The sequence below is a fragment of the Homo sapiens genome, chromosome 2 (assembly GCF_000001405.40).
Source record: "Homo sapiens chromosome 2, GRCh38.p14 Primary Assembly".
In the NCBI taxonomy this organism is placed as follows: Eukaryota; Metazoa; Chordata; class Mammalia; order Primates; family Hominidae; genus Homo; species Homo sapiens.
Genome location: NC_000002.12, coordinates 48,079,309 through 48,091,037, shown reverse-complemented (window position 1 = coordinate 48,091,037; position 11,729 = coordinate 48,079,309). Strand labels below are relative to the sequence as shown.

Sequence of the window (11,729 nt, the reverse complement as noted above, 5' to 3'; positions counted from 1 at the left end):
CCTTTCCTGGACTACAGCAATTCCTATTGTTCTTTCTTCAGAACTTCCCTTAGTAACCTTTTAGAGACTGTACCATAACATTTAGCAGTTACTTTGATTATATATATTATCTTTTTGTTATTTGCTGTTATAGAGGAGTCTCTTTTCTCCACCAAAACTGGGAGCCCTTTCAGAAGAGTATCCATGTTGTATACTATACTTCTCAATCACCCACATAATCTACCCTAGTGCAGAGCCCATGGTGCACACTGAAAATGCTTTTTAGTGGCTTAGTATGCATACCATTTCATTTATACCTTTTCTCTCCAGCTAGGTTGAAAACTTCTCCCAAACTAGATTCCGATTCTTTTTTTAATCTCCCACACCACTTAGCACAAATATTACTAGGATTTAAATATCTAAGCTTAGCCAAAATTGGAGAGCAACTGACAGATTGATAAGTGCTTTTGCATACCTAATCTCATTTGATTCTCAGGATAACTCTTTAATGTGGGACTTATTGATAGCATCATCACTTTCTAAATAATCAACATGAAGCTCAGAGGAATTGATTGATTTGCTTGAGGTCACACAGCAGGGAATTGCCAGAAAGCCCAAATGATCTAACTACCAATGCAAAACAATGCTTTCCATATCGGTGGTTACCACCCCCACCCTTGGTGCATCCCATCTTACCCCCTCCAAATCAACGTGGAGCCAGGGGTTCTGTTTTGCTTGGTTTTTGTAATTAATGTTTCCCAGGAGATTCTTGGGCATCCAGCTCTGCCATGTCCAAGAACAAGTATTTGGGAACTACTCTTCAGACATGCTATGTAAAGTGTAGCTCCCTTCTTACTCCTGTGGGGAGGATTCCCAGGGCAAGGCATCCTTGTAAATGGTGTCCTCATCTGCTTCTTTTCCCTGGTTACTCCTCACTCCCCGTTCAACTTGCCTGAAAAGAGAAAGGAGTACAAGAATTGTTAAATGTCTGTGAATGAACTTCAATAATAGTTGAATCTAAATATAACCCCTCATGGTTATTATTCCAAAAATCCAGTGATTATAGTTCAGAACTTTGAGCTACACATTCCCTACCTCCTTTCAGTCAGAATGCCCCACACCCATTAAAAGCAGTATTATTAAAAACAGCAGCTACTGGCCGTGCTTAGAAACAACTGTTCTCAAGTAAATAACTTGGAATGTTTTTATTTTAGAATATCAAAGGGAGTCTGGACCACATTATGGCTAATTGACTACATATTTCCATGAGCAGAAATGAAGCTATATTTTAGTTATAAAGATACCAACCACAATGTCTTTAATGTTGGTTACCAGCTTTTTTAAAAGAGGAGAGAGAAAGAAAACAAAAAGTGAATTGCACATTAAATCTCAGCTTAACTTAAATCTTAGCTCTAGTTATAGAACAAGGGGAAATTGGTGAATGTAGCACATACATTTTCTCCTAAGTAGAGTGATTGCAACCATGCTGCCATAGCCCTACTTTGTGTAGATCTATCCTGATTTTTAAAATGTTCTCATGGACAATTCTCTCTGTCTCTCTGTCTGTCTCTGTGTGTGTGTGTGTATGTGTGTGTGTGTGTGTGTGTGTGTGTGTTTAAGTATGTGTGTAAGTGTTATGTATCTCTTTTTCTCTTCCCTTCTCTCCCTTCCTCTCCTCCCTAATGGGAGGTGGTTAAAGCAGCCTAGCTTGCTAGCAAACAATGAGTTCTGAAAGCTGAGAAAACTTAAACTGCAGAGCCATTTCTAAAGAAATACTTACAGCAAAGTTGATCTGACTCTTTTAATGACTTGCATAATTGTTTTTTTTTTTTTTTGCTACATGTAATTAGGCTTAATAAGCATTATTTATTTTACAGCCTAATCAACCATTTTTGAGCTTAGCTAAGGGAAGGAAGTTTGAAAGAGGGTAGAGAAATGCCAGTGTGAAGCCCCCACCCCTGCTGCCCCCTCACTGTTTATCCTATCTCAGAAGAGGGGCTGCAAATGGAGCCGCACCTAGCACCCCATGCTCCCAGACTCATTCTCCTCCCGGTTCACTTTGCTAGTGAGTAAATTACTCAACTGGGAATTTCTAAAATCTCTAGACTATGGGTGGCCTTGATTAAATGCTCTAGGAAGAAAAGAAGAGAGAAGAAAAATCCTGGTTATCCGGAATTTTTGGATAATGAGTCTTTCCGGGCAGTAAAATTTCTCAGATAACTGAGCGCTTTTCCTTTAAGCTCCAGACTTTTAATTTTAACCATTTCAAATGGAAATCTAAATTAAACATATCATACTCTTCCCTGAGCTCTTAAACAATAGACACAATTTAAAATTGTCTTCACCAAGTTATAAAAAATGATAGTTTATTACATAGAAAAATCACCTCAGAGGTTGTTGAGACATGTAAGATGTTTATTCTATTAAATGATCCAGACTTACATACATGTAAGTCCTTGTAATGGTTTTTTGTTTGTTTGTTTTGTTTGTTTTTTAAAGACAAGGTCTCCAGGCTAGAGTGCAGTGGCACAATCACAGCTCCCTGCAGCCTCCGAGTTCTGGGCTCAAGCAATCCTCCTGCCTCCACCCCACAAGTAACAAGGACTACAGGCATGCACCATCTTGCCCAGCTAATTAAAACAAATTTTTTTTGTAGAGACAGGGTCTCTTGCTCTGTTGCCCAGGCTGGTTTGCAATGTTAGTTTTTTTATATCTATAATTTTTCTGAAAACATTATTTTCTGTTGTCAGTGTACCTACCACTAGCAATTCCATTTCCCTCTTTTAAACTGCTATATTCATAAGAACTATGAATATAAGTATGAATATTAAAATATTCATAAAAATGAGAATAACAGGTCTCCACATTGAGTGTAAAGTAGAGGTAAATAGTTTCTAAGGGAGTATCTCTGAGGGAGCAAATAGGACTTTTATGTGTCCTGCTGAATTTCCTTGTTCTTGCCAACTTTCTGGATAGAGAGATTGTCAGAAGGATGAATTCTGGAAAGTTAAGAAATTATTGTGGCTGTTCTAAGGAAACTGACTCAAAAACTCAGAAGGAGGGTGCTATGGTTTGAATGTGTCCCCCAAAATGCTTGTGTTAGAAATTTAATCCCCAATACAACAGTATTGGGAGGTGGGGCCTTATGGGAAGTGTCTATGTCACAAGGACTCCACTCTCATAAATTCATTAATGCCAATTATAAAAGGGCTTGAGTCTGCAATCTCTTGCCTCTCATGCATGCCCTTTGCCTCATGGTGCCTCTTGCCATGTGATGGCACAGCAAGAAGGTCCTTACCAGAGATAATCCTTCAGTCTTGGATTTCCCAGCCTCAAGACCTGTGAGCCAAATAAATTTCTATTGTTTATCCAGTCTGTGGTATTCTTTATGGTAATACAAAATGGGCTAAGAAGGCAAGATGAGATGTTAATCTCCCTTCATAGAATGTATAATAAAAATGATTTTAGGCTAGGTGCGGTGGCTCATGCCTATAATCCCAGCACTTTGAGAGGCCAAGGTAGGGGGGATCATCTGAGACCAGGAATTTGAGACCAGACTTAGCAATAAGCAAGACCCTATCCCTACAAAAAATAAGAAAATTAGCTGGGCTTGGCAGCACACGCCTGTAGTCCCAGCTACTCAAGAGGCTGAGGTAGGAAGATCACTTGTGCCCAGGAGTGCAAGGCTGCAGTAAGCTATGATTTCACCACTACACTCTAATCTGGGTGACACAGAAAGACCCCATGTCAAAATTAAACAAGAAAGATTTTACTTTTCTGATGACAAAACTAATGCATGCCAATTTTAAAAATATAGTCAAATCTTATAAATATATATGTATATAATACAGAAAAGTTCTTCATTTTCTCGCCATCCCCCAACCCCAAATAACTACTTATGAAAAGTACATCAATGCTTTTTATGTTCACATACTAGCATGTTATTATGAATTTTTAAAAACATAAATTTAAGATCTATCTGTACCTTACAACTTGATCTTTGAACTTACTAATTTATCTTGAATGTCTCATGAATTAGTCCATTTTTAGTTATTTCATTGCTTTTTTAACCACACCTTAGTATTCTATTAAGGATTGTATTAGTCACATTTCTCTAGAGGGACAGAACTAATAGGAGATATAGATATAGATATAGATATAGATATAGATATAGATATAGATATAGATATAGATATAGATACAGATGATATAGATATAGATATATCAAAAGGAGTTTACTAACTTATAAGATCACAAGGTCCCACAATAGGCTGTCTGCAAGCTGAGGAGCAAGGCAAACCAGTTTGAGTCCCAAAACTGAAGAACTTGGAATCTGATGTTTGAGGGCAGGAAGCATCCAGTACAGGAAAAAGATGTAGGCTGGGAGGCTAGGCCAGTCTCTTTTTCACGTTTTACTGCCTGCTTTATATTTGCTGACAGCTGATTAGATTGTGCCTGCCAGATTAAGAGTGGATCTGCCTTCCCCAGCCCACAGACTCAAATGCTTATCTCTTTTGGGATCACCCTGACAGATATACCCAGGATCAATACTTTGTATCCTTCAATCCTATCAAGTTGACACTCAGTATTAACCATCACAAGGATATCCCATAAGTATTGAAACAGTTCTCTGCTGATGAATATTTAGATAGTATTTAATTTTTCAACATTAAAATCAATAGTGAAGTGAACATCTTTGAATATGTATAATTGAGTGAGTATTTGGGTAGAATAAATTCTTAGATGTTGATATGATTTTGCTGTGTCCCCACTCAAATCTCATCTTGAATTGTAGCTCCCATAATAGTGTCATGGGAGGGACCCTGTGGGAGGTAATTGAATCACGGAGGCAGGTTTTCCCATGCTGTTCTCATGATAATGAAGAAGTCTCACAAGATCTGATGATTTTATGAAGGGGAGCTCCCCTCCACCTGCTCTCTTGCCTGCAACCATGTAAGACATGCCTTTGCTCCTCCTTCACCTTCCATCATGACTGTGAGGCCTCCCCAACCATGTGGAACTGTGACTCCATTAAATCTCTCTTTTTTTATAAATTACCCAGCCTTGGGTATTTCTTCATAGCAGTATGAAAATAGACTAATATAGATATGGAATTTGACCTTTGAACTTGCACTTAGAGCTGTTATATAAATACCACAACCAGGGGAGTTCAAAACTATGGAAATGCATTCTCTCACAGTTCTGGAGGCTAGAAGTCCAAAATAGAGGTGTCAGCAGGGCCATACTCCCTCTGAAACCTGTGGGGAAATTCTTATGTGCTTCTTCCTAGCCTCTGGTGGTTTGCTGGCAATCTCAGTTTGCAGCTGTGTAACTCTAGTCCCTGCCTTCTACATCACATGGTGTCTCTTCCTGTGTGTCTCTGTTTCCACATGGCCATCTTCTTATAAGGTCACCAGTCACACTGGATTAGGGACCAACCCCACTCCACTATCAGCTGAACTAATTACATCCACAATAACCTTATTTCCAAATAAAGTCCCATTCTGAGAACTGAGAGTTAGAACTTCAACATATCTTTTCTGTGTGGGGAGCAGGTGAAGTAGGGGAAGGAAGGGACACAGTTTAACTCATAACATCTTTCAAAGGATAAAGGCTTTAAACATTTAATAGATGCTGCCATTTTCTTCAAAAACATTATGCCAATGTATATTCTCATCAACAGTTTATGAGAGTACCAGTTTCTCATGGACACTGGATATTATAAATTTTCTATTATTTTCTAATCTGATAGGCAAAATTTATAACTGATTGTTACTTTATTTTGTATTTTTTATTAGTGAAATAGAGCAAATTTTCACTTGCTGTACTGACTACTATAAAGAACTAAAAAAAAGGAAAAAACATTAAGAATTTTTCACTTGCTTCACTAATTTCTTTTGTGATTTGCCTCTAATGTCCTTTGCCCAATTTTTCTGTTGTACTATTCATCTTTTTCTTATTGATTTATAAGGGCTTTTTCTTTACTAGAGGAATCTATAAACTCTTTGCTTATTATATATATTGTACTTTCCTCTCAATTTGTCCTTTATTTCTGTTCTTGCTACATAGAAGCTTATTATTATTATTATTGAGACAGGGTCTCACTCTGTTGCCCAGGATGGAGTGCAGTGATGAGATCTCAGCTCACTGCAACTTCCACCTCTGGATTCAAGTGATTTTCGTGCCTCAGCCTCCTGAGTAGCTGGGATTATAGGCGTGCAGCACCATACCCAACTAATTTTCCTGTTTTTAGTAGAGACGAGGTTTTCATGTTGGCCAGGCTGGAAGCTTATTATTTTATATGGTTACCTTTCTCTTTTCAGAAACCAGGAATTTTCATTCTTAGAAAGACCTTATCCACCCCCAAATTATAGAAATAGATGCCAATGTTTTCTTCTAATACAATTATGGCTTCATTTATACATTTAATTTTTTTATCCCATTGATATGTATTTTAGTATAAGGGTCAGGTGACAATCCAGTATTCTTATTTTTCCAAATGGTGATCACATGGTTGTCACAGGCTGTTTATTGATGCATTTTCCCCGTAGGTTGGAAATAACACTTGTATCATATCCTGCTTTCTGTGTAAATTGCCAGAAGCTTGAAGGTCCAGTTCTAGGCCACCCTATTCTGTTTCATTGTCCTGCCAGTCTCCTGCTGAGCTGGAACCAGTGTTAGAGTTACTGTAACTTTGTAATACAGCCTAATATCCCATGTGGTTTTTTTCCCTCCCTTACTTTCCATAGTTTTCCTGACTGTTCTCAGGAGTTTATTCCTCTAGATTAAGTCTAAATTTTGGCAAGTTCTTTACAAAATTTCTGCAAATATTTTGATAGAATGGCATTAAATTTATAATGAGGAGAGAATTGGCACTTCATATATTTTTTCTACTCAAAAAATAGACCTCTCTATGAATTCAAATCTTTTATGTCTCTCAATATTATGCCTTTTTTCTTCATATAGCACAGGTTATATAGTTTTGTTAACTTATTCTTAAGTGTGTGTGTGTGTGTGTCTGTGTGTGTTTTGAAACACACACACTCCCTCTGTCACTCAGGCTGGAGTGCAGTGGCGTGATCTCAGCTCACTCTAACCTCTGCTTCTTGGATTCAAGTGATTCTCTTGCATCAGCCTTCCAAGTAGCTGGGGCTACAGGTGTGTGCCACCATGCCCGGCTAATTTTTGTATTTTTGGTAGAGTTGGGGTTTTGCTATGTTGGCCCAGCTGGTCTCAAACTCCTGACCTTAGGTGATCCACCTTCCTTGGCCTCCCAAAGTGCTAGGATTACAGGAGTGAGCCACCATGCCCGGCCTGAAGTGTTTTTAAATTACTACTAGGAATAAGATCTTTTCTTCCAGTTTAATTTTCTACCTGATTGTTCTTCAGTATGCAGGAAAATTATGAGTTTTTAAAATATTAAATAGGTAACTGGTTACTTCCCTGAATTACATTGTTTCTAATGGCTTTGCAGTTGTTTCTCTTGGGATTTCAAGTATATTGTCACATCATCTGCAGTAACTATAATTTTGTTCCCTCTCTTACAATATTTATATCTTTTATTGGTTATCTTATCTAATTATAAAGTTTTTCCAGAAAAAATGTTAGTTAATAGCAGTAATAGTGAACATGCTTGTCTTATTCCTGATTTAAGCAGAAACCTTTCTATTGTTTGTCTGTCAACTGTGATGTTGGTTTATGATTTAGGATACATCTGTCTATTGTATTATGGAAGTATTCCTATATTCCTATTTTGACACAGTCATTAAGAACATAAGAACATGCCACTTACTAGCTGTATGCAACCCACTACCTAATATGTGACCTGAGGCAAGACTGTTAACCTTGCTAGGCTTTAGTGTCCTTATCTACAGACTGAATGGGAAAGGTAGTACCTCCCTCATTATGTGATGGTTGAGGACTAAATAAGAAAACGCACACAAAGCATATCAGATAGTGCCCAATACATAATAAGGGAAAAATAAATGTTAGCTCTTATTACTTTTTTTACGTGAATGAACACTGAAATTTGTTACATTTATTTTCTATACCTTTGAAAGTAATCATGACTTTTCTCCTTTGACTATTAACAGGGTTAATTATAGTAATAGATTTCCTAAAATTGAATCCAGCTGATATGAGTCCCACTTTGGTATTTTAAAATGGACTACTGAATTCTATTTGCTAGTTTCCTTTTTTTTTTTTTTTTGTTTTTTGAGATAGCTCGCTCTGTCACCCAGGCTGGACTGCAGTGGTATGATCTCGGCTCACTGCAACCTCCACCTCCCGGGTTCAAGTGATTCTTGTGCCTCAGCCTCTGGTGTAGCTGGGACTACAGGCGTGTGCCACCATGCCTGGCTAATTTTTGTAATTTTAGTAGAGACAAGGTTTCACCATGTTGGCCAGGCTGGTCTCAAACTCCTGACCTCAAGTGATCTGCCTGCCTCAGCCTCCCAAAGTGCTGGGATTATAGGCATGAGCCACCATGCCTGGCTATTTCCTAATATCTTTATTAGAGCTTTTACATTGTATTTAAAAGGAAGATTACCCTGAGATATGTGTGTATGTGTGTGTGTGTATGATGGGTATAGGTGTGTGGCATGGGCTATGTGTGTGCAGTATGTTTGTATCTGTGCAGTGCATGTGTGTTGGGGTGTGGGTGGTGTGGATATAAGGTGAATCTGTGTGGTGTGGTATATGTGTTGTGTGTATATGTATGTGAGGCACATTTTTATTTGGGTAGAGTGTGGTATGTGTGATGTGTGCATGAATTGTGTGGATGTTTGTATTCGTGCAGTGTTTGTGTGTGTGTGTCTGGTGGGGGAACAATGCTTTTGCATAGTGTGTGGTACATAAGTGTTATCTCTATGAGGTTTTGGTACCAATGATACGTTGGCTTCCTAAAATAGGTAGGAGAATTTTTCCTTTAAGCTTTGGATGAGTTAAATAGCAACAAAATCTTCTCTCCCTTAAAGGTTTAAAATGAGCAACTTGTTAAATGACCTGGGCCTTGGGAGCTTGTGGTAGCATTATCCACTTTTTCCATGGCTTGGTTTTTTGGAAGATCTCTGAGTCTATTTTGATAAGAATTTCTTTGAAAATCATCCATTCATTCCCATTTATTAGAGAATAGAGAAATAGCTATTTTGGATATGACATCAAATAATAGCTCAGTGTAATTCTAAAGCTTTTCTGACATTTAGTATGAAAAGAAAAAGTAAGAGCAGTTGAGAAGTCATTTTGGCACAAAGAACACTACAGGGATAGCCAAGAGGGAAAGACAGACTGCCTCTGAGCTGGATCATCTTTGAGTAATAAAAATGGAGAAAAGCGTGACTGACTTATTTACCATGACTAGATAAGTAGTAAATAAATATTAGGTTGGTGCAAAAGTAATTGAGGTTTTTGCTATTACTTTTAATTTTTGCTATTACTTTTAACCTGAATTACTTTTGCACCAACTTAATACCTACAAAATAAATGTAATCAGTGGACTAAATTCTTCCAAATGTGGTAGCCCTTGAGGAAAATACCAAAAGCATTTTAGGGAGAGGCCTGCTAGGACACTTATGGGTCAGACGGAAGCTCCGGCAGTGGGCACCTGCAGCCGCTGACATCTCAGTAAGAAGTGCAGGCAAGGATCAAAACCCTGGGTCGAGGGACGTGCCTGCTGGCGTGGAAAGTGCAGGCTCTGAGACTAGTGAGATTTGGTTACGATGTACCAAGCTGGAGTGACCCATGGTGTTGTTCACGGGCTCTTGTCCTTACTGGAAGCTTATCTGTGTTTGTACCCACTTCCCTTCTTTCTGTCTAGACTTGAGAAGAGGGTGCTAAGTTAGCATGCTCAGTTAGATGGCCTAGAGGCATGTAGCTGAACTGCAGAGGTGTACAAGTATTCTGTCCCCAGCCTCCCCAACCCCTTTTCCACTCCCTAAGGGTGCTGACTCCTCAGTTTCCAGATGCCGCTTCTGTGGCTGAAGTTTTCCCAGAATGCAGCTCTGCTCCTGGGCTCCAACACCCAGAAGTTCCTCTCTCTAGTCCAGTCAGCTGCTTCTTCCATCACCATATAGAACCTAGAAGAACACTAAGGACAGAAGGGAAGATGAAGACCCATCGTTAACTCCCTCAAGCGATCTTTCAGAGGGAAACAGACTCTCCACTCTCAATATTGACCTTCTAGTTCCTGTTTTTATTCTGAGAGAATGTTTCTGTTCCTGCTCCTCAAAGGAAATAGGTTTTATTTGGTTGGCTTTGCCTTCAATTGGCACAATTAGAACTGCAAGAGACACCACACTTGAGGAATCTGGGGCCCCAGAGGTTCCGCTGACAGTGCTGTGCACATAGCAGATTGTGATAGTTCCATTTTATGTGTCAACTTCACTGGGCCACAGGGAGCCTAGCTCTTTGGTTAAACATTACTCTGGGTGTGTCTGGGAGGGTCTCTGAATGGCATTAATGTTTGAATTAATTGGTAGACTCAGTAAAGCAGGTTGGATCCGTTTCATCCAATCCACTGAAGTTCTGAATTAAAAAAAAAAATAAAGCTGAGTAAGAAAGAATTCTCTTTTTCTGCCTGACTGTCTTCAAGCTGGGACATAAGTCTTCTCTTGCCTTCATACTGAGACTCAGGCTTGAATTTACACCATCAACTCACCCAGTTCTTAGGCCTTCAGAATCAGACTGGAACCACACCATCAGATCCCCAGGGTCTCCAGCTTAATAACTGCAGATCATAGACTTCTCAGCCTGCATATCTTGTGAGCCAATCTTTATAGTAAATCTATTTCTAGTTGGCTTTGTTTCTCTGCAGAACCCAGACAAATAACGCAAGTATTTAGTAAATGCCTGTTTACTTTGTGTAAGTGGCCTTTGGCAAGTCTGGTGAGCAGTTAGTGGCAGAGTTCCTACCAGGATGTAGGGTTGCAGGCTCATCCACCTGGACTCCTTCCACCCGACCAACACCAATTCACCCCAATGGAGGTGAGGCTGGACAAAGAATGATGGTGATGAAAACAGTGGCCCCATGGGAACCACCAGAAGCTGAGCCTAAAGAATAGGAGTAAGCCAAGGAGTCACCCAGGCCCAGTGAGTATCAGGAATTGGGGCTTCAAACAAGGCCATTTGTCAGACCAGGGCAGCCTAGCAGCAGAAATGAGCTAGAAGCAAGAGACTCTGTATCCAAGGTGAAGCTTGCCTGGCTTGTCATTCTTTCATTCTTCCTGCTGTTGCAGGACACTGTGGCTTTCCCAGGAATGGCCTTCCCAGAATCTGAAGGCCCATCAGATGCCACATTAGACCTGCTACTTTTACCAGCTCCTCCTGATAGGACTACACAATATCTTTGACTTTAAGGGTTGAACTCCTAGGCAGCTGGTCTAAGAATCCATCCACAGAGTAAACACCACCTGCTGAACACCAAATGCCTCCTGAAGTACTTTTCAGACTCTGTCTGTGGACCACCTGTCTCAGAATTACCCAAGATGCTTGTTAAAAATGCAAATTTCTAGACCCCACCCAGAACTACTGAATCAGCATCTCTGGGAGGGTGGCCGGGAGTCTGCATGTTTAATAATGTCTCAGGTGATTCTTATTTATGCACACTGACATTTGAGTTCTACCAGGTAACCCCAAACACATACAAGTTCCCGGGAATTGGCTAAGTGGTGATGACAAACTCTGGCCCATACTCACTCCTTTGTTCATTTACTCACTCAACAAATAATTTTAAAGATTTTGTGCTCAAGGCATTG

The 11,729-nt window shown here is 39.5% G+C and overlaps 1 long non-coding RNA gene across 1 annotated transcript in view; it reads right to left on the bottom strand.

Annotated features, from left to right (window-relative positions):
- Positions 1-703: 703 nt before the first annotated feature.
- The window catches only part of LOC124907765 (uncharacterized), a 42,973-nt gene continuing 31,947 nt past the window's right edge, over positions 704-11,729 (bottom strand). Inside the window, exon 2 of the long non-coding RNA XR_007086314.1 lies at positions 704-931. This is a non-coding gene — a long non-coding RNA (uncharacterized LOC124907765). The remainder of the gene's footprint in view (positions 932-11,729) is intronic.